At 42.5% G+C, this 23,304-nt stretch overlaps 5 annotated features.

The window, feature by feature from the left end:
• Window positions 2,276-2,798: an enhancer, noted in NCBI's record as "H3K27ac-H3K4me1 hESC enhancer chr12:68758482-68759004 (GRCh37/hg19 assembly coordinates)". NCBI's record gives its function as "activates a minimal SCP1, AML or CMV promoter by ChIP-STARR-seq in primed H9 embryonic stem cells {active_cell/tissue: H9 hESC(primed)}" and the evidence as "EXISTENCE:reporter gene assay evidence [ECO:0000049][PMID:30033119]".
• Window positions 2,276-2,871: a biological region, named in NCBI's record as "H3K27ac-H3K4me1 hESC enhancer GRCh37_chr12:68758482-68759004".
• Window positions 2,612-2,871: an enhancer, noted in NCBI's record as "active region_6635". NCBI's record gives its function as "activates an Ori minimal core promoter by ATAC-STARR-seq in GM12878 lymphoblastoid cells {active_cell/tissue: GM12878}" and the evidence as "EXISTENCE:reporter gene assay evidence [ECO:0000049][PMID:35858748]".
• Window positions 2,799-3,320: an enhancer, noted in NCBI's record as "H3K27ac-H3K4me1 hESC enhancer chr12:68759005-68759526 (GRCh37/hg19 assembly coordinates)". NCBI's record gives its function as "activates a minimal SCP1, AML or CMV promoter by ChIP-STARR-seq in primed H9 embryonic stem cells {active_cell/tissue: H9 hESC(primed)}" and the evidence as "EXISTENCE:reporter gene assay evidence [ECO:0000049][PMID:30033119]".
• Window positions 11,734-11,863: an enhancer, noted in NCBI's record as "active region_6636". NCBI's record gives its function as "activates an Ori minimal core promoter by ATAC-STARR-seq in GM12878 lymphoblastoid cells {active_cell/tissue: GM12878}" and the evidence as "EXISTENCE:reporter gene assay evidence [ECO:0000049][PMID:35858748]".

Below are 23,304 nucleotides of genomic sequence, written 5' to 3' on the forward strand. Positions count from 1 at the left end.
ATCATCCTTCCAGTTCCACTTTGAATTCCATTTTATAGACTTGGAGGTGAAGAAAGTTGCCTAAAATCACACAGATGATCATGGCAGGGCTTGCGTTTAAATTAAAGTAAGCCTGATTCCAAGGCCCTGCTCTTCTGACTCAAGCTTTGTCTTCCCAATATATACCACGATCCCCGTAGAAAATAAGTGCTCTAAGGATTAATTGAAACAAGTTATCACTTTGAATGGTAGCATAAGGCATCATGAACAGGATGTGAAATTTGAGAAAAGCTTTTAAACAGGTTAAAAACCCAAGGATGAGTAGAATGTTATAAGGTAAAAGGAAGGAAGAAAAATCTATTTCCATCTGTAAGAAAGTGCCTGTACTACAGTGTAGAGATGGAAGAGCCCAAGCTGGTGAGACGACCATTCTGTGTTGTGCCTGATCTGGTTACCTGCTCATCTCAGTACAGGTATACAGCATGGTCCTGGAAGTGCAGAGGTGCTTTAGGGACCAGCCAACCCATGAATAAGTGGGCTCTTCTTGGGAGGCAGTATTCCTGCACATACAATAGGAAAGGCATGGGCCAAACATCTCCAAGCCTTATATCTTCTCAGGGATTCTTGGTGTATGTCAGTGGCCCATCATACAAGACCAACAATTTTACTTAATTATAGGTAATGAATATATTAAAATGAACATATAGATATTTTGGAGTAGAATCCAGCATTAACATGGATTTTGTTAGTACAAGGTATTAATGTAATGCCATGCTTGTAATGGGCCCCATGAGCTCTGGCCCAGACGGCTGGGATTCATAGTTTGTACTCCTCTCCCATTAGGGGTTTCTCAGGGTGAGGACTGAGAGGTGCTGATATGGAGGAGACACACATGTGGCATAGCACATGATATTGTGGAGGCAAAAAGAGAGGAAAAGAGGGTCTATAATGGCCCTCCAGATCTCCATGTTCTGATGTCTGTTGTCATCCATACTCTCGTGTTGTTTGTTTCTTGCCTTGACTAATGAATAAAGTTCTCATTAGGAACACTCCATGCGTTACTAGGTCCTCATAGTCATCTTCGGCTTTGCACTTTGTCTCATATCCCACATCTGATCCATCAGCAAATCCTGTTGTCTCTACCTTGTAAGTGTACCCAGAATCCAACAGCGTCCCCACCTGTACTGCCAACACCCCATCCCAATGTTCACTGTCACTCCCCTGCTTCATCGCCACCGTGGCCTCCCAGTTGGCATCCCTACCTCTGCCCTTGCCTGAGAGAGTCTACTCTCCACAGCAGCCGGGGTGCTCATGTGATAACATGCATCACATCATGAGGCTGCTCTGCTCCATGCCCCCAGGAACAGGCTATCCCCCTCAGAGTAAAAGCCCAGGACCTCCAAATCCCCTGCAAGGCCCCACCGGTCCTTTCCAACCACCCCATCTGTCCTCCCTTCTCTCACCATTACCCAGCCACATTGCCTGTTTACTGTTTCTGAGGAAGTCATCTATCTCCCTCCTCAGGGCTCTTGTACATTCTGTTTGTTTTCCCTGACACGCCCTTCCTCAGATATCCCTGTGGCATTACCCTTTCCATCTCTAGACCTTGGCTCAAGTGTCACTTTTTCAGGGAGACCTTCCCTAACCATCCCCAACATGCTCTGCTATCTGCTCTGCTATCAACATCTGACAATCCACTTATTAAACATGTTTATTGCCTGCTTCCCTCTACCAAAATGTCAGTTCCATGAGGGTGAGGATTGTTATTTCACTCATTCCCAGCTCCTTGAGCAATGCCTGATGCATCTTTGGCATGCAACAAATAATAGTCGAATAAATTCATCTACCTGGTAGTCCTTGGCTGGAAAAAGTTTTTGATTTTTTGTCTTTATAAAGCAAAGATGAAACTAAACTACCTGCCAAAAAGACAAAGAGAAATTGCATTTAAATAAAACTTAAAACAAGTTGCAGAATTTGCATAGTATAATCTCATTTTCAGTTTTTAAATTGTATGTGTGGGTATATATTATTGAACACTAACTGCATGCTAGCAGCTTGATAAACGGACTATACATGAGCTATGTACTATACTCATATAAATGTTCATAATTGCATAATAAAAGCACTGGAAAACACGTACCAAACTGTTAGCAAGTGGGAGTGAGGTTTGAGGGACTTGAGAGAAGACTAGCTTTTACTTTACACCATTCTTCATTAATTGAATGCTTTACAATGGAAATATTTTATAAATACAAAAAGAAAAACATCTGAAGAAACTCAATATCAGCGCCATTTCTACTGAAAATTTTTCATCTTGCAGTTTTAACTTCTCACAGAATCCTTTCCTTTGGACTTGAGGCCTCTGAACCTGTGCTAATTGCACTCTGTCAGGAATTCGTCCTTGGCGACCATAGAAAATATTACAGGTGTCTGTGCTACCCAGAAAGCAAAGGGTTGTGGTGCTTTCTTTTTTCCTTTGAGTTACATTGCGACTGGCACAGTTATGAAATGAGAAATGTTACACACAAGATTGCCACAATCCCCATTTTTGGCTTATCTTTATGTCCCATACATTCTTTTAAGATTTCTATCGCCTCAGTATTGTCGATTTCCACATCCACAGCCTAACAACGTGGTGCAATCGCCCTTTGCGACGCCGCAGACCAACAGACGGATGCTGCCCTGCTGCAGTTTCACAGCACACCGGGTCTTTCCGCTTCAGCTGGACAGAGGCCCAGCCAGGCCGTAGGGAGGATTCCGAAGGTCTCTCTGCAGAGGACCGGCCTCTCAGACCGAGAAGGCTCCACCCAGGCAGGAAAGGACACTGTATGTGGGGCAGTCGGCCTGGGCCCCATGGCTCGTGTTTGTTGCTGAATTGGGCAACGTGGGCTGCGGTTCACAGGGCAACAGAGACTTCACCACCTAACACATCGGGGCTGGTGCAGCTGAGGAGGGCTGCTTCTGCCTCTTGGTGACCACGCCCTTTCCCAGGCTGGGCCCACAGGAAGTCTGGCCGGGAAGGGAGGAGGCACTGCAAGCTGTGGGAACCACACCGGCTCCTTCACTGCTGACAAAGATCTACTCCACCCCCACCGAGAAACTAGCTCAGAACCAGCTTTCCTCCTCCTCCGCAGCCCTCATGCCCTGAATGGCTGACTTGGGGGATGTTTACACTCATTTTTTTCATACTTAAGGGGGTGTGGGTGCCAGATCAACTTGCTCACCACTCAGACCGCACACAAGAAGCCTTATGTTGAAACTTGTTCAACCTCCAGTAACCAAGTCATGCAAGTGGAGAAAACTAGATAGCATTGCACACACACATATACATACACAGGCATATATAGACACATATATATCCATATATATGTGTTTATGTGTGTGTGCAATTATCTTTATACATATATTTAAAAATTTTATATATATATATACACACACACATATATATATAATTTTAATGCTAATAATGCTTGCCAAATGCTTGGTTTCAGTTGACTGCTGGTGGAGTGTACAACCTTGGTACAACCTCTCTGAAAGGCAATTTGACAACAGATATCAAAAGCCTTAAAGGTTTTCATATCCACAGTAATTCCACTTCAAGAATTTAAAGAAACATAAAATGTATATACAAGGTTGTTCCTTCTAAGGTTACAGCTACAAGTATAGACTACTTTAAAGCCATTCAAAATAATCTTTTGGAAGGTTTTTAAGGGGATAAAAAAGTCACCATAATAAATGAAAAGCCCTACATTTATATAAAAATGGGCATAGTCTCACATAAAAATATGTGTGTGCATATGTATCTATGCATGTGAGTGTTTCTGTGTACATAGAGAGAAGGAGCACTTCCTTTCTCTTGAACTACCCTCTGCCCTTGGTTTCCAATCACTGCATTCTTTCCTAGTTTTCTTCCTAGTCCACTGGCTGCTCCTTTGTTCTCCCATATTGCATCCTTCTCCTCTTCCCAACCAATCCATATTAGAGGGCTCAACCTCTGTCCTCAGACCTCCTGGCCATCTACATGTCACTCCTGAGACCATCTCCCCTACATCCTCTCTATGCTGATAATCCGCCAGATAAAATCTCCCTGCCTGTCCTCTTCCCCTAAGCTCCCGACTAGAAATCCTCACTCAGGTGTGAAATTCTTACTTGGCCTTCTTATATCCAAAATGGAACTTTTGATTTCCATTGCTGTCTCCTCCCCCTCACACACACACACACACCTGCTTCCGTCTCATTGTTTCCCATCTCAGTAAATGGATCATCATTTCACAAGAGATGGGACTAGAAACCAGGGCATCATATGCTTGATGCCTTCCTTCTTCTCTCATACCTTACATCCAACCCATTAGTAGCAAGTCCTGTTGTCTCTATGTTCAAAATATGCACCAAATCCAGCCCCTCTCCTCATCAGCACTGCCCACTCCTCTGCCACCAGCATCTCTCCCCCAGACTTCTATGAGAGCCTCCCCGTTAGTCTCCCTGAATTCACACTGCCCGCCTACAATCTGTTCTCCATAAAGCAACTAATGATCCTTTTATAAAATAAATTACATCAGAAGGCATGAAACCTATAAACAAAATGTTAAAAGTTATCCAGGAATGATGAGATTATGGGCTGTTCTTATTTTATTCTGTCTGCTTCTCTACTATTTGTCACATTTCTAACAATAAACACATTTCACTTTTACCAGTAAGAAATCAAAATGTTGTTTTGAAAAAACAAAATTACAGGTTTCAGGTTGACAGGGTAGGAGTTTAGCTTCCATGAATCAGCCCTGACAAACCAATACCAAGCAAGCTACAGAGCAGTAATGAGTTCCCAACCTCCAAAGGCAGCAGCAAGAAGCAAGGAAGAATGTCCTAAACCAAGACAGCAAATACATGGCACTTGTGATGCCACTTCTGCCTCGTATACACATAACTGACATCACTAAATGACTGGCACCATTGCCAGCTGAGCCTGGATGCAGCCTCATATCCTTCTCAACACAGAGACAGCCACTATCATTCAATTAGGGTTGACACTTACATATTTACCATCTGTAATAAGCATTCTATCTCAGGATTGTGGAGTTAAATTTTTATGCTCCTTTATAAAAGAATATAATGCACTCAATATTTTCAAGTTACTTTTACATCTAAAATCTCATATACCTTCACAAAACCTCAGAAGGTAGGAAGAGCAGGTATTTTTTTAATTTTTATTTTTACTTTAAGATCTGGGGTACATGTGCAGGATGTGCAGGTTTGTTACATAGGTAAATGTGTACAATGGTGGTTGGCTGCACCTATCAACCCATTACCTAGGTATTAAGCCCAGCATGCATTAGCCATTTTTCCTAATAAGAGCAGATATTTTTACCCCCCTTTTAATAGAATTGAGGGCCACAACAGTTAAAGTCACACAGCAGAGCCCTGGTCTCCTCATGGCCACACTCCCCTGTGCTTTTCTGTGGTTCCCATAAACCTCTGCAGGCTCTGAAAGAGGTCAGAACCTCACATCCCAGCAGAGGTAAATGTAGGGGCCAAGGATAGCACCAAACCTGGACAGAGATGGGCCACAAGTGATGCATAGTCCGTTACTATTGACAACTTTGAAAATAAATAGTGAAGACACAGATGAAGGGACATTCACAAATTTCATAACAAAAGCCATCATCCTCTTCAGGGGCAGGACCTCTAGAAGCCAAACATGTTTGTTGGTCACCATAGCAACCATGAACTGCCTGCCACCCCTCCATTTGACCTATTCTGAAGTAGCTTTTTTTAAGGACTCCCAAGCCTGCAAAGAACAGATTGCTCAATTGGCTTTAGCATCTTTTCACCCTTTGCTGTTCCCTTCTCTGCGGTTGTACACAGGTTCAATGCCCAAGAAAAATGAAGTATCCACATGACCGCCATGAAGCAGAATTCAAATTTCCACTGCTGTCCCATCTGCCTGAAGTAAGCCGCTTACTCCATAAGCCACTAAGCAATTAATTGCTGTCAGAGATAGTTTGACCCCTGTCCTTGGCAAGCCAATTCATGAAACTCCTAGGGCAGGAAATAAGTGGAGAAAACTCATATTCCCAAAGGAATGGGTGTGGTGCTCTCAAACAGAAAAGACTGTCAGGAAGATTCCTTTCTGTAACATACAGGACCACGTGGCAACATCAGCAATTGGAGAAGTTTGTCTTCTCTTCAGTCCCTGCTTTGACTTCCTTCCCCTCACACATACACCTCACCCTCCCATTGATTGCTCCACCTGCTCCCCACCCCCCTAAGGCATTCTCTGCCTCCCCTCTTCAGATACCCCCAAAGGTTGGATCCTTTATATTATTTTCTCACCTTTATGCCTTTTTTGTAATAAAATACTCTGTCTCTTTGGTGGATATGCAAGTGAGAGAGCCATCCTTTGACCAGTGAATTTTTCTGATATTACAGTAAGACTAATCCTGATCCAAACTCTTTCTACATATTTTCTATTTTAATGTTTATTTATTTATTTATTTTTGAGATGGAGTTTCGCTGTTGTTGCCCAGACTGGAGTGCAATGGTGCAATCTCGGCTCACCGCAACCTCTGCCTCCCAGGTTCAAGTGATTCTCCTCCCTCAGTCTCCCGAGTAGCTGGGATTACAGGCATGAGCCACCACGTCCGGCTAATTTTGTATTTTTAGTAGAGACGGGGTTTCTCCATGTCGGTCAGGCTGGTCTCGAACTCCCAACCTCAGGTGATCAGCCCGCCTCGGCCTCCCAAAGTGCTGGGATTACAGGCGTGAGCCACCACGCCCCTCCCGCTCTTTCTACATATCTTTGATGCAGGGGTGGAGTAGGGGTACAGGAAATGTAGAGTCCCTGGATCGTGCTGCCAGCCCCACCTCCTTTAACTTTATTCCGCCCCCATCTGCCTTAAGACCACAGACCTCAGGATCCAGAGAACTTTGCTCCAAGTATGTCTTTACCCTGCCCCCAGCCACTCCACCCACCCCTACTCTTGGCAAAGGACAGCCTAAGACCTTCAGATGTGCTGGGTGACAGTGATTACACCGTAGCGCATACCACTGCCGAATAAATGATGGGCTGAAGTCTGAATCCCAGGACTGGAACACCATGCTGGTCCTCCCACTTGTTAATGATATGAGTGGACTCTAATTTCTTCTTCAGAATAATAATTGCTACCAGGTACTGTGTGCCCATATGATAATTAATCTAGCACCGTCAGAGAATACCATGAATGCCAATTATAGATGACAGAGAGACAAAGGGAGATGAAAGAAACAAAGTGTGTTTTGGCTGAATGAAAGCTATACTGTATCAATAAATTGTTTATAGGGTGTTCCTTATTGCCATGCAACCCAATAATAATTAGATGCTCTATTCAAAATGTGCCACACTAAGTTTGTTGTAAATTTAATTCAGTTATAACAGCTGGATCTATGCTGGGCCATTTGCTCACAATCAAAACAAAAAAAAGGACACCCTTCCTCCCCATTCCAGGAAGAAGAGAAATGGTATCGCTAACATGCCTCATGTTACAGTCTCCTGAGTTGTCCAGCTCCCCATTTGCACTTTTCTATATTACTCTGTGCTACTCACAAACCTCTCAGCTCCGTGGATCCCATAAATTCCCAGGTTTGCTCAAGGGCCCGGACTGGGCAAAGGGAAATAGGTCCCTCTGGGCAAACAATGATGTGGCTTAACTGCGCTGACAAATGCTGATCAAATGGCTGGCATTCCCCAGTGGGAAGGGAAGGCAAAGAAAGGGAAGCAGGCAGCAAGCAGGTGGGTGAGAAGGAAGTTGTTTGCACTTGAAATGGTCGGTGACAAGATATTCCCATAAACCACCAGATGTCATTCAGATCTACTGTCATCCTAAAAAATGGCAGCTCCAGAGCCTGCCTGTTTCAGCAGCGAGGTTTCACATCTGGGTCAGCCACTAGGCTGGATGTCAAAACACAAGGAAACATGATAACTCGGGGAGTGTAGTCATATGTTTGCTGACTGATAATCATAGGGTCCCAAAACAACAGGCTTGGAAGGAGTCTAGTCCCCCACACCCAGCAGGGAGTATTCGGTCATAGGGTTAAGACAAAACCATGCACAAGAACTCACCATGTGGATTCCCCACTCCCAACTCCACTCCCACTCACAAATATCTTAGACATACTCTGCCAGGGCACGGAGGCGTATCCCAGTGTCCCATCGAAGCAAAACTATCATGGGCCTCCTACTGCCCTAAGAGTGAAATCCAAACCCATGACCAGGGCCTGCAAAGCCTGGCAAACCTCTCCTGGTGCTGCTGCCCCCTTGTTCACCTGACTCAGCCCCTCTGGGCTCCTTTCCACCCCTTTTCCCTTTCTCAGAGCCTCTGCACATGACGTTCCCTCCGCCTATACACCTCTGACACCACCTATCCTCACAAACAGCCCCAGTTCTGCACACATGTCCCAGGGCCTTCCACTCCTTCAGTCACCCAGCTAATGCTATGGAGGCCTGCAGTGCCCAGGCACAGCAGTGAACAGCAAAGCCCTGCCCTCGTGGAGCTTACATTCAAGTTGGAGGAGACTGGAAATAAACAAATAAACCAGGAAAGAGTAAAATATTCTGTCAGTTGGTGTTAAGTACTGTGGAGATGAAAGCACAGCAAGGAGTGAAGGGGGTAAGCAAGGGTGAGGGAGGGGGGTATTACTTCCTTATCAAAAGATCTTTCCCGAGGTTCTCTCTCTTAGCCTTCATCTATTTCCTTCCTAATGCCCATCACAATGTGTAACTTTCTATTGTATGGGTTTGTTTGTTGTTATTTTTAATCTGTTATCCCCACTAGTATGTAAAGTCCATGTACGTAGGAACTACTGCTGCCTTCTTTTCCATGTTTCCCAGCACTTATGGCTGGACTAGTAGGTCCTTGATAAATTTGTTGGATGAATGGAGGAAGGAAGGCAGGAAGGAATTGAGGGAGGGAGGGAAAAAGGGAGATGGGGAGGGAGGGAGAGGCTGAGAACTACAGGGAGAAGCAAAGAAATCAGAGAGCCAAGGACAGGACAAGGTGAGTGGGAAGATGGTCTTGGTGGACAGCCCTCAGAGAGCGGTATGTGCAGGCGCATGCACGTGTGTGTGTGTGTTTGTGTACGCATGTGTGTGTGTGTGCATGTGTGTGTATTGATGGAAGGGTAGGAAATGCAAGTGGAGGTTGCCCTAGGTCCATTTAAAGAGTTTGAAATAGAATAAATAGCAACTGAAGAGTTGTCTCACTCCCCTAAAAGGAGGAAACATGCTCAGAGTGATTAAATATGCTATCCAAGGTTGCACAGCCTGAGGGGGTGAGAACCAGGAAAGTTTGCCCTCCACAAACTGGAGCTGAAACACTGCCCTTGGAAGGGAGTGAGAACAGGGGCAAGTGTTGGCCTGAGTACTCAGTGCTGCTGCCTTTGGGATGTCCAGGTTCTTCAAGAGATTTTAGTGGTTGAGAAGGAAGTGACCTTGGTGAGGTTAAGTGAAATGGGCATTTCATAAATTGCTGGTGCCAACAGAAATTGATAACACTTTGAGAAGGCAGTTAGGCACCGAGCATTAGGAATTTCAAATGCTGACTGACTTTGAAATTTTACTTTAGGTATTGTAAGGGAATACTTCAAAACATGAAAAAACTTTATGCCCAAAGATATCCAGATATTTATAGCAAAATTATTCATAATTTGCAAGAAGCTAAACCACCTAAAATGTCTAAATATCCAACAATAGAAGATTAGTAAGCGAGAATATATCTACTTGATGGAATAGTATGCAGTTATTAAAAATAAAGTATATGAAGATTGGGTAAAAGTGAAAATACTTAACACAATGTTAAGTAAAAAGAATTGAGATTAATATTTTTACATGATATGATCTATAACATTATATTTGCATAATTATTATATCTATGTAAAATAGAAAACACAGTGTAGACTGGGAGCGGTGGCTCAGCCTGTAATTCTAGCACTTTGGGAGACTGAGGCGGGTGGATCAGCTGAGGTCAGGAGTTCCGAGACAAGCCTGGCCAACATGGTGAAACCCAGTCTGTACTAAAAATACAAAAATTAGCCAGGCGTGGTGGTACTTGCCTGTAATCCCAGCTACTCGGGAGGCTGAGGCAGGAGAATTGCTTATCCCTGGAGGCAGAGGTTGCAGTGATCTGGGATCACGCCACTGCACTCCAGCCTGGGCGACAGAGTGAGACTCTGTCTCAAAAAAAAAAAAAGTGATTAAAGCAAAATTAAGAGGAGATGTTTCTAGCACACCATAAAAAATACCATTTTTGTCAATTAAAAACAAATTTTAATAAAGAAAATATTTTTAAAATATAAATAATGGTCAATCTAAATTCTCTTTGACCACTCTTTATTGAGCTGTGTGCCATGAGCCAGGCACTGGGCTAAGCACTGAGGTTAGAAAGATGCCGTCACAAAGAAGCACTAAAATACTGCATGATGAGCTACATGACAAGAGAAATGTATGGGTTTTTGAAGCACACAAGAGGACCTCCAAACTCAGATTTGGTAGAGAAAAGGGGAAGGACAGTCAGGAAAAGTTTTTTAGGGGAAATACTATCTAAATGCTGAATCAAAGAGAAAATGTATGAAAAAACAGATGAACACAGACAAGGAAACAGAGTAAAAGAGAGAAAGAATAGACCCAAGAAAGGTCGCGAGGTTTCCAAGCAGAGTGAACCTGAGAAGGTGCAGCTTGTTTGAAGAATTGAGGGAAATTCCATTTGGCACAAGCGTAATATTATGGGGGGTCGGGGTGGGGCTAGGAAGCTGAAGACATAAGCAGAACCAATCCTGTGGAGCAGTTTGGACACTAAAGGCAACAGGAAGCCTTTGAAGTGTTTTCAGATCTGTGCTTTAGAAAGATCTCTTCCTGGCACCGTGACTGGATTGGATGCAAGGCTGGAGAGAATGGTGCAGGTTTAAAGCTATGTGATAATCCAGGAGAAAGAGAAGGGTGGATTTGTGTTTGGGTAAAGGGACTGTGGGTAGTTTTTCTTTTGTTTTTTTCTTTTTTTTTTTTTTTTTGAGACGGAGTCTCGCTCTATCGCCCAGGCTGGAGTGCAGTGGCGAGATCTCCGCTCACTGCAAGCTCCGCCTCCCAGGTTCACGCCATTCTCCTGCCTCAGCCTCCCGAGTAGCTGGGACTACAGGCGCCCGCCACCACGCCCAGCTAATTTTTTTGTATTTTTTTTTTTTGTAGTAGAGACGGGGTTTCACCGTACTAGCCAGGATGGTCTCGATCTCCTGACCTCATGATCCGCCCGCCTCGGCCTCCCAAAGTGCTGGGATTACAGGTGTGAGCCACCACGCCCGGCGGACTGTGGGTAGTTTTTCTACCTTCATATTTTCTAGCATTTCCAAACTTTGTTTAATGACCATGTGTTATTTTCATAATGGGAAAAAAAAAACATGGTTTAAGGAAGATGAGCCTTATAGTGTTCTGCCTGAAAGTCCCTCAGAGCCTTTGGGACTTGCTAAGCCAGAGGCCTCTGTGTCTGTACAAGAACTCACACCCACGTGCTGACCTATAATGTCCCAGGTTCTGCCCACAGTCTACACTGAGAGGGTGTAATTTTCCATAGGCCAGGGACTCAAGTAAAAGCAGAAGTTGGCAGATGTAACAGCAACTGAGTGGGAAGAGAGAAGAGAGATGGCCTCCAACTCATACATAAAATCCAAGCGTTCATTCATTCATTTATCTATTCACCAATATTAAGCACCCACTGTGTAGGAGGCACTGTTCTAGGCGCTGCAGATACAGAAGTAAACAAAATGACAAAGTCCTAGTTACACATTCTAGGAAATAAGATAGACCATCTATGAATTAAGATTCAGCTAACTGTACTCCCTCCCTCATTTGAAGAAGTAGAGCCGCATGCCATACTGCTATTTACTGACAAGAGTGGTTTAGGAAACTTTGCGAAGTAATTACAGGTTTGATGACTCATAGCCATACTAAATGTGGCACCTGTAAACAGATACCTATGCGTGCCATGGTGTTTGTGACTGGGTTGGCTGGGTTGGGTATCACTGTTTCTAGAACAGGGCTTTCAGTATCGATTTCATATGTACCTATGTACACTTACAAATGTAACTCAAACTTCGCCTGATCTGGCCAGCCAGTGAGTACAAATGAGCTTACGCTAAAATAACAGCACACATTTCAGTAATGTGTTCTGCCAACCACATAAATGGAGACCTTTGCAATCTTTTCTCCCATGCTTGTATTTGGGAGCATCCAAGGGCATCTCGTGTGTTCACAAACACGCTTCTTATTTATGTTCTAGCAACCCAGCTACAGAAATAGCCATTTGGAGCAGCTTCTCAGCCCAGCCCTTCGTAGGCATTCTGTTTTCTTGCCCAGGAAGCGGTTTAAGAAATCCCCCAAACTACAGCTCTGGGGACAGAAAAACTCTCTTCTGTGGAGAAAGTATCCCTTTCCCCTAACACTGTGGAAAGACCGAGCTGAGCCAGTTCAGGTCAAGTGTTAGGACTCTGTAAGCACTAGCTCTAGAAGCAACTAACAATGTCTGGGTTTACCCTGAGCAATGTTGCTTGTGAATCTTTGTCTCAGGGAGTTTCTTGTAAAAATCAGCACCTTCAGCTTCCGCCTGCAGACCCCTCTCTGCTGAGCACAAACCTAGTCCACAGGCTGGTCTGGGGAGCAGCCTCATGGTGCCTTCTCCACATTCTCAGCTCCAAGCCCCAGGCACAAATCTCCCCTCGGGTCACCAGACAGGCCTGGGCATGGCTAAATCTCAATTAAAGGCAAACAGGATGCGGAAAAATCAGTTTTAAAAAGATCAGGCAAGGTTTAGGAGAATATGAGGGCAGAAAAATCCATCCCATACCACTGAGAAAGGAGGAATTTACAGAGAAGAGAGCAGGCTGGAAACAGCATTAAGCCACTCAGGACACAGTGAATCAGAATGCAAATGGACCGACCCAAATAGGTACCTCCTCCCCATGCTGCTGGGTCCACTCTGTCTCACACATAACCCTCTGTCTTAGAACTGCTATAGAGGACAGAAGGCCTCAGAGAACCAGGAATGGAAGACAGAAGAGAGATTGCCAGGAACCATTTCTAAATTTTAATTCTGTAAGTTATAATCCAAGTTTTCTTTGATAGCAAGTTTTCCCCTGGAGAGACAGGTTAAGGGACCTTTCAGATGACACCTTCTGTCCCTTTCTCAGCGCTAGAAGGTCAGTTCAGGAACCTACTGTTAGTTCCAATGCCCTTGATTGAAGTTAGCAATTTACAGAAATAGACTCAAATCCCCCTTCAAGCTGGAGATCCTGGAGAGAATGCCCAGAGACAGAATGGGCCATCTCCAAGGCCAACTCAAATGCTGCCTGCTCCATGAAGCCCATCTGGAGCTCTCACTTTCAGATCCATACTCCTTCATCTTTTTCTCCTTCTTATTAAGCTCTAGGAGATGTTGTTTTTGGCTCCCTTCACCCTCTGGTGTAGTGATTAACCTCTCCTGTGGCAGATGGCAGACCTCATTGCAGCATCCCTGCAGCCCCATGCAAAGCCTCCCTCCTGTAACAGACACTCAGTAGGCAATTATCGAGTCAAGTATGGTCCCAGAGAATTACTTATGAAGATGACTCCTGCAAAAGTGGTGAGGGATTTTCTGGCACTGTCTTTTCTGAAGTCCCTGCTAGCACATGTTATTGTAATTGTCAGGATGTTCTCCAAAAGGGATAATGGCCTATCCAGAGCTGATACCCAGCCAGTTCAAATCTCTGCTGCATAAAGGCCTACACCTGTTCTGATTAGCCAGGGCCTTCTCCTTGGCCACTCCCACACACTCCTATGGTCTAGGTTCTCTGGACTCCTCACTGCCTTTGCATACTCTCTTCCTTCTTCCCCCATTAGGCAGCCCATATGCATCCTTTGAAGCCCAGCTTAACAGTGGCCTCCTGTGTGGAATCCCTCTGGCCTCTCCTCCCAGCGGAGGGAACACTCTTTCCTCTATGTTCCCTAGCACCCTGCACACTCCCATACAGCCCTTCTTCTATGCTGAGATTGTTTTTGTTCCCAGCCCCCCATCTTATGTGAGCTTACGTTTGACTCGTCTTGGCAGATCCAGCAAAACACATTGCCTGGCAGAAGCAGGAACTCAACAAATGTTTCTTGAATGAATGAATGAATGAATGGGCATGACTCTTGCAAATGTTTTCTAAAAAAGATGGCAAGGAAATCCCCTGAGACACTCAAAATTAACATTCCTATTAGTTTGTTATATACAGATTCATGTCTTGCTTTTTAAATTTAAAAATAATAAGGGCTAGGATTGAGGCCTTGCTAGGTGCTGAGTGTTTTACAAGCATTGTCTTGTTAGAATCCAAACAACCACCTGAGGCAGAGATAATTTTTACTTTATTTTACAGTTGAATTAACAGAAACTGAGAAAGGTTAAGAAATGTGTTCAGATGCATATAGTTGGTAAGTGGGAGTGTGTTTGGCTTGAAAGCCTGTGCTCTCGACTGTCTCACTTTCCATCTAACACACATTACAGTCAGGACATTTTCCTATGTCATTAAGCTATTTTTAATGCCTTTATTATATAAAGGAGAAGCTTCTACACATGACTGACTGTAGTGCCTTATTATTCAAAGTGCGGTGCGCTCACCAGGCACGCTTACCACTTGGGAGCTTGTTAGAAATGCAGGATCTCAGGTTCCGTCCCAGATGTACTTACTTAATCTGAGTCTGCATTTTAGCAAGATCCTTAGTGACATGTAAGTACATTGAAGTCTGAGAAGCACTGGTTTCTGTCAGGAATCAGCAGACCACAGCACACAGGCCACTCTAGCTGCCCCCGGGCCCCCACTCCGTTTCTGTATTGCCCTGAAGCTAAGAATGGTTTTTACCATTTCAATGGTTGATAATTTTTCAGAAAAGGAATACTATTTTGCAACATGTGGAAATTATATGAAATTCACATTTCAATGTCCATAAATGAAGTTTTATTGAAACAAGTTCATTTATTCACATACTGTCTATGGTTTCTTTTGTGCTACAACAGCAGACTTGAGTAGTTATAATGGACTGTGTGGCCCACAAAGATATTTACTATCTGGTTATTTATGGGAAAAGTTGGCCGACCCCTTTCTAACTCTATCCCTCATCTGTCACCCACAGCTCTATGGTTCAGAATGCAAGTGGAAAAAAGGGCAACCGTCATGTCGGAAGACTAAGAGGGAAAGAGCATCCCAGTGAGACCCAGATTTCAGCTGAGGCCTGAAGGCTGAGGGAATCTACCATGGGGTAAAAGTCCAGAGCGTAGAGGAAATGGGGGTGAACATGAGGTGTGGTAAGGCAGGGGTTAGGAGGCAAAACAATGAAAACATGAGAGTAGAGGAGAGTGTGGATGACTTTGGAGGCGGCTCCTCAAAGGTAAGCGTGGAAGTCTGGCCAAGGCCAAGGATGAAAGATCAGTGCAGGTTTTAGCCTCAATTTTTGCCCACAAAGCCTCAATTTTCTTAAGGCTGCTGCAAGCTGAAGGGTTGGGTGGTATCCACGTAGTTGAAATTGACAGACTTTTCCTAATGTCTCCAAGCTGTGAGGGCGACAAGTATTCTCATCCCTAAGAGGAAATGCTAAACTTGATGTGTACAATGATGAAATTAACTAGCTCTCTATCCTGAAATGGAAGCTGTAGCTGCCTGCATAAGGAGCTTGTTACATATGCCAACTCCCAATCCCACCCTGAGACAGTCTGATTCAGTGGGAATTTGTATTTTAACAAGCATGCTACATAATTCCGATCCTTTGAGAAAGACTGCCTCTGTGAATGAGACAACTCAAGCCTCTGGAAGGAGTTAGCTGCAGCTTGAGAAGGTGATGCTTCTAAAAGCAATCGTTTATATGGGTGAAGGTTTTCTGTTTTCTGGAGCTGTGTAAGACTTCAGTAAGAGGCAGTGGCATTAGAGAGGAATTTATAGGCTCTATCTGCTAATGAGCTGGGGGCAAGCAGAATGCTGCAGGCATCTGAGAAACCTGCAGAAAGGCATTAGCTAACAGAGGTGTCTGAGGAGCTTAGGACTGACACTAAGGGTCCTAATCCAAAGAATGCCATCAAGTAAGATGTGGAGCACACGATGGCCAAAGAACAGAAATACCTGCCTCTCCCTAATGATGTGAAGATCTCAAGTGATACTTAACATATTGGGGTGCTCAGAGTTCAGGGTCACCCTAGGCAGGTGGCAGATCTCATATGTACTTGCAGTTGTCTCAGTTTTGTTACATTTCATCCCTACTCCCACCATTCCCACAGTCTGTATGACTGCATATATATAATTTCCCTCAGGTGCTAGATGGGGGCTTGGTACCAAGTAAATTATGACATGGGACCCCAAGGAATCTCTGACACAGGAGAGACACACAATGACAACTTATTTTTCACAGGTTACAAAAATAAAAATATCAGGTGTCATGAATACAAGGCATTGTCTCATGAATTAATAATTTAGTTTCCTAAAAAAGATGGATAGGCGAAAGAAGGACAGGATGGGAAATTAGTGCTTGTTTTAATCTGCTTTGGAGCTGCCAAGGAAAACCAGTTGTCTTCTCCGTTTTTCTGTGCTTCCTGGAAATCATGCTGGAAGCAACCAGATTTGAGGCGCAGCATGAAACATCTGTCCTGTTTTGGCTTCTCATTGAGATGTTCATTCAGCTTTTGCATACAGCACCTTGCTGCCTTGAGACAAAATTTTAAAAACAAAAAAGCATTGCCAGGCTTTTTAAGCTATTGTGCAGGGTTGCTATTAGGAACTCACTGCACTTAGACTCTCCAGCCCACCCAGGAATATAGGTCTGACCCTTAAGGATAGTAAATAAGGGAGTGAAATCCAAGAAAGGCTGACACTCCCTGTGCAGTTATTTTTCAACCCAGAGGCTGCTTCTGCATATGATATCGCTTATGTAACTTTTCTTTGCAAGGACTCCTCTGGTGCCCCAATCTAGCCTCCACACCCATCCCTCCCCATATCATCAGCACAATGACATTTTTGCTGCTCCACCCAGCTGCGAATTTGCCAACAGTTTAAGGATGTGGACATTGAGTAAACAAAGACACAAAATTGAAGTTGGCTTTTGTGCAACTAGCTTTTAGGAGTTGCAGTTCTGTTCTTTCAGGTTTAAAGTTTCAGTGCAGTAGAATAAGACTGCCCAAACAATATTGCAAAGCTGCTTAGGAATTTCCATCACTAAAAATAGTATTATGTTACTTTGGGATAAAAGATTTTTAATTTATAGTGTAGCTCCCATGTAAGGATATGTATATTAACCTAGAACAACCTTGCTAGTTTCCATACGCCAGACTTAAAAATAAATTTATGATTAAAACCTTTTTAAGAATTCCAACAATACTGAGTGACCATCAATTCTTTAGAAAATGGGAACTAATTAATGGAAATTTTCTTCAAAGAATCTGACCTATTAAACATGATATTAAATATTCATCTATTTTAAAAGCTGCAAATGTCAATGAAAAAAATAAAGCTGTCAAATGCTAGGAGCATTTCATTAAGAAAGCAGCTTCAAACATTGATGAGAGTTTTATAAAGTTAGGAACTCTCAAGCTTTACCTCCTAGTGAAGAAGTTACTAATATTGTCTTTATTATAATCAAAATGCCAAAAGAGCAGGAAAACAGCAGTATGGGGCCCTGAATTGAAGTCCCTCTTTTTCCATGTTTCTACTAGCCCAGCCCTTTTGTAAATAAAACCTTTATACAACTAAAGCAGCACTGACTTCAATGGGAAGTTATGATATCAGTGCTACAGTGAAATGGATTGCTACAAACAGAATAAGAGAGGAATAGATTGGATAATCAACACATATAGCAACTCAAAAGGATCGTTTTAGTGATTTCTTTTAATCTTCTCTACTACTAAGTATTTCACATAAGGATGCTTTTGGCTGCAAGTAACAGAATATCCAACTAACAGTGGCATTAAAAAAAGGGGTTCTGGTTTTCTATTGCTATAATATATAACAAACCAAAATTTAGTGGCTTAAAATAACATTTATTTTGTTCCTAGTCTGCAATTTGGGAAGGGCTTGGTGGGTGGCAGCTTGTCTGCTCCACTTGGCACCAGCTAGGGCACTTGAAGACTGGGGCCAGAGTCATCTGAAGGCTGCTTCACTCTCATGTTTGACAGTTCTTGCTGAGAAGACTCAGAGAGCTAGAGGCTGGTACAGCTGGGGCTCCTCAGGCATCTCGATTTCTGTGTGTTCTCCCACATGAGTTCTTCAGCATGGCAGCTTCAATGTAGACTGACTTCTAACATGTCAGCTCAAAGCTCCCAAGGCACATGTCAGAGAGAAGAAAAAGGCAGAAACCGCATCACTTGTGAACCTAGCATGGAGAGTCATGCAGTGTCACATCTACTGAATTCTACTAGTTAGAATCAAGTGGGTAAGGCTGGCCTATATTCAAGGGAGGGTGAATTAGACTTTGCTGGGAGGAGTGTCAAAGAATTTGTGGCCTTGTATTAAACCTACCACAAAGGGATTTATTTTTCATGTATGATGTCTAAAGGGAAGCAGTACTGTATAATATGGGGCTCCATGATCTAATAAAAACCAAGGGTTCATCTGTTCATCTATAATTCTGCTCTACCATTTTTAGATTGGCATATTGTCTCAAAGTTGCAAGCTGACTGCTATAGATCCAGACATTGTAGCCATGTTCAAGACCAAGAGGGGTGGAAAGAATAGTGCCTGCAGTTCTGGCCTCTTTTATTAGGAAATCAAAAGCCGTTCCCAAAACCCACCTCAGCAGAATTCTGCTTATGCCACATTGGCCAGAACTGTTACAAGGCCACCCCTTGCTTCAAGGGAGGTTAGAGCAGTGAATATTCAGCTTCTCCTTTCTCTACTGTAGAGGTCAGCGAGGATGAAGAGAGCCAGAAATGGGCATTGGGTCAGTCAAGCCATGCTTCTGACCTGCAAAGCCTCCATATCAGACCCAAAAATTCACAAGTAAGTAAGTAAGAGCTTCAAAGAACTTCTCTCCCTCAGCCAAGGTTAACTATAAAATGACCCAAATATGCTTAACAGACCAAAAAAAAAATTGGCTAATGAATGGAACTATTTACAACTGTATTTTTGCAAATAGAATCAAAAGCTAGATATTGAATTAAATGAATTGTTTCTACAGTTTAAACAGGAAGCAGAATGGGTTTCCCACAGAGCCATTTGCCGGCAAGATAGGAGGGACAAGGAAGAGGAGAGACCACTGACTTGTGATAAAATGTGAAAGCTGCCCTGCAGATTACCTTGGCTTCAGAGGCCTGGGGCCTAAAAATAATTTGGGGGCAGGGCAAAGAGGAACTCTTCACTTGTAAACCTAACCCAAATTCTATATCTTATTTTATAGAACATTCCTTCTTTTAACCTTGTTACTCACTAGTGAATGGAAACAGGAAAAACATTGTGAGTTGATGGATTTTATCTAACCCATCTGCAACGATTATTCAAATGTAAGCTTTAAAGTTTTATAACATTTAGCTAAAGAAGAATCAAAACTCTTTTCATTGCCCCGTGTAAGCACAAACACTCTCCTCGCCCTGCCAATTTGCCAGTCTACTGTCTCATGCTATGGTCTCATACAAGGATAAAAAAAATCACACCACAGCAGATATTTTTATAGACCCTTCATTCATACAAGCCTTGGCATATGACCGCAACAATAGCTAAAACTGAAAAATGAGACAACTGGATTTACTGACTGATAGTGTCTAGAACTCTCTCCCAGGTAATTTAATAGATGTACGTGAAAATGTGTGCTTTAAGGAGGACGCTGAATGTGAAGAAAGAATGCAACCACAGTGAGAGCTCCAGTACAATCCCAGGCTACAACTTCCAATGTCTGGTTCATCCTCAGAGAAAAAGGAATGAGGAAAGGAAATATTTTCCTTTAAATTGAAAGAACTCTGACATAAGGAAATTAAATAATTGATCCAAAGTGATGTTGCTCCTATTAAACAGAAAAAAAAGCACCAAGGCCTTTGCAAGCACTCCCATTAACAGTTTAATTTAGAATAGAAAGTAATGCAGGTCTTTATTCTAAACAATGGCCAACTTTACCTAACACGAAATAGACTCTTCTTAAACAAAACTCATAAAACATATACTATGGGAGTTACCAACCATTTTCTGAATTATTTATAAGCTAATGCTCTGCTTTCAATGTTTCTATCAGCTGCAAAATTTAATTAAGAAGCAAAGAATGGGCTTATAGAGATCATGACCCTACGTATTTCTTACTCATATTTCAAATTATAATCATGTCATGATGAAGTTTGATCCTCGTGGAGTGTAACAAAATAATATATTTGAACTTTTTATTATTACCAGTTTAGAGACCTACTATAAGATACTTCAGATACTCCCAAACCACATAGCAAAATTCGTAAGTGCAGTAATTACCATAAATGTACTCTGTAACTCTCAAAAGCAACTGCCAACAGTTCTAGGCCCAGGATAAGTGTTCAATTCATACTCATTAAATTTCATTGAATATTCAACATCTTTCACAAACTCATATATAATCTTTGTGTATGAAAATATTTTTGAGATTGAATATTCCCCACACTCATTTCCAACTAGAAATTCCCATTGGGTTTTGAATGAAAAGATTTATTAGATCTACTCAATTAGGTGACAAGATTAATAGTCCCCATTAAACCCTAATTTGCTTTTTATTCCGCAAAGACTAACACAGATGTAAAACAGGTGTTGGCCACTCCCAGAACATATGCCTAAGACAACAAGCAAGCTGAGAGTAATTTGGTACACGAACTGGTTGTCCCTTCCATGCCACCTCTCCATTGACAGTTATGCTGGAAATGAGATTTAACAGCAAAGATTTCTCTTTCCTACACCATGCCCAACTTCCTCAGTGCTAGTAGCTTTGGATGTGAGAGGAAGACCACACACACACACACACACACACACACACACACAGACACACACAGACACACACACACACACTGAGTTTAGATCAACAAGCATATACTGAGTGCCCATTACCAGGTGTCATGCTGGAATTATAGGCACAGGTGGAGCCTCAGGAGTCAAGCTCTCTGAATTCACACCCCAGTTTATCTCTCAGTAGCTGGATAGCCTCAGGCAAGTTCCTCAGCCTTTCTAAGCCGTAGCTGCTTTACCTGCAAAACAAGGATACTAATAACACCTACTTCATGGGAGTTTGTGACTATCAAATAAGATAATTCGTATACAGTTGCCTGGCATCTAGTATGTGCAATAAACTGAGCTATAATCACCACCATCATCATCGCAGCATAGCCTCAGTCTTTATCCCCAGGTAAACTAGGGTGAAAAGACACATAAACAGATTATGCCCATTTTTTGTGAGATGGTAAGTGGACTTCAGAAAAGAGGCACTTAGCTCAACGTGGAATGCAAGGAAGGTCTCTGAGCTGAGAGTCAAAAGGTGAGTAGAGTTAGCTGGATAAAGAGAGTTATTTTGGTCGGATGTGGTGGCTCATGCCTATAATCTCAGCAATTTGGGAGGCCAAGGTGGGCGGATCACTTGAGGTCAGGAGTTTGAGACCAGCCTGGCCAACATGGTAAAACCCCATCTCACTAAAAATACAAAAATTAGCCGGGAGTGATGGCGCACACCTGTAATCCCAGCTACTCGGGAGGCTGAGGCAGGAGAATTGTTTGAACCTGGGAGGCGGAGGTTGTGGTGAGCCGAGATCGCGCCGTTGCACTCCAGCCTGGGCGACAGAGTCAGACTCCGTCTCAAAAAAAAAAAAAAAAAAAAGGAGCATGTTGTGTACAGGAACTGGATGTGGTTTGCTATTACAAGCAAGAAATTCAAGACGGGGAGGGATAGAAGATGAGGCTCATGAGGAAGATAAGGACTAGGTCACAAGAGGTCTCATAGGTCATGTTGAGGTGACTGAATTTCCTCCTTATAGACCAAATTTCCTAAGACAGTTTATAGAAATTTCTAGTGTTCACAGAGGCATTTCATGAAAAATTCCTTGGTATTCCTCAACATAATAGCTTCACTGTGACTTCTTTTTGAAGCATCCTAAATTTCACCCCTTTAGTAATTCACAGTGCATGCGTTAGCATGTTGAAGGCTCTGAGAAGTTTTACAATAAAGGAACCTCTTTGCCTCAATTTAGCTCAATATTTTTTAAATAGATTGTACTTCAGGACACCATTTTTACAGAATGCTGAAAGATATTTTGCCAGATTTTAACAAGAGTAATGAATTGGGCAGTTTAGCTTCATAAAATTGCTCTAGCTACAGAGATGGAGTTTAAAGGAGCACGCTTGGAGAGAAGATGTGAAATGATGGTGAGCCGGGACAGAGAAGACAGAGCAGATTCAAAAAAATATTCAGGAGGTAAAATCTGTAGGTTTTGCTGGTAACAGTGGAGTGAGGGAGACACAACTGTCTAGAATAATACTTGGAGTTCTGGCTTGAGTGAAAACAATAGTAATGCCACTTACTTCAAAAGTAATACAGAAAAACATGATGTTCGGAAAGGAATGAGGGATGGGTAAGGTAAAAAACTTAGTATGAGACATCCATGAGTCTTCCAAGTGAAATAATAGGTAGCAATGCGTCACTAAACCATTCTTCAGTCCTAATCTAAACCAGGTCATCTGACAAGTAATTCCTTTCTCTTCCTTAGGAGTCAAAATTTTTAGGTTAAGATTCCATAATGCATTGTGTTCATTTTAGCAGCAAATTTACTAATAATAAGGTTATTATTTAATCATTAAAACACTCAGGCTTTTCTTAATGCATTCGCAAATTAAAATATGCAAATGTACATATGTAGACAGGTGAATATTGCATTACTCAAGATAAATTACTTAAATTCTCACTTAAAAAGTGAATCTGCAGTAGAGCTACTACCATTATCCAAATGTCACAAATATACCTAAATAGGTTAATTTTTAATATATATTGTAGTGAATCATTTAACAAAACTAATTTTTATCTTTTTTTTCTATCTCAGCTTCTTAAAAGCAAAAGATACATCTTCATCTTTGTGCCCTGAGGGTTCAAAGCAGTTTAAAACACATGGAAAGTATACATTAAAATCTTGTTGAATTAATAAAATTAATTAAAGCAAGTCACAGTAATAAATACAAAATTGACAAGTTTTCAACTCTACTCTGTCACTAATTGATCTCATCCGCCCTCTTCGCTTTACATATGATCTACATGCTAATGATTTCCAAACTGTTATCAGCTCTGCTCTCCTTTTGAACTGTTATCATCTCTGCTCTTCCTTTCAACTTTGA

The sequence above is a fragment of the Homo sapiens genome, chromosome 12 (assembly GCF_000001405.40).
Source record: "Homo sapiens chromosome 12, GRCh38.p14 Primary Assembly".
NCBI classification, from domain to species: Eukaryota; Metazoa; Chordata; class Mammalia; order Primates; family Hominidae; genus Homo; species Homo sapiens.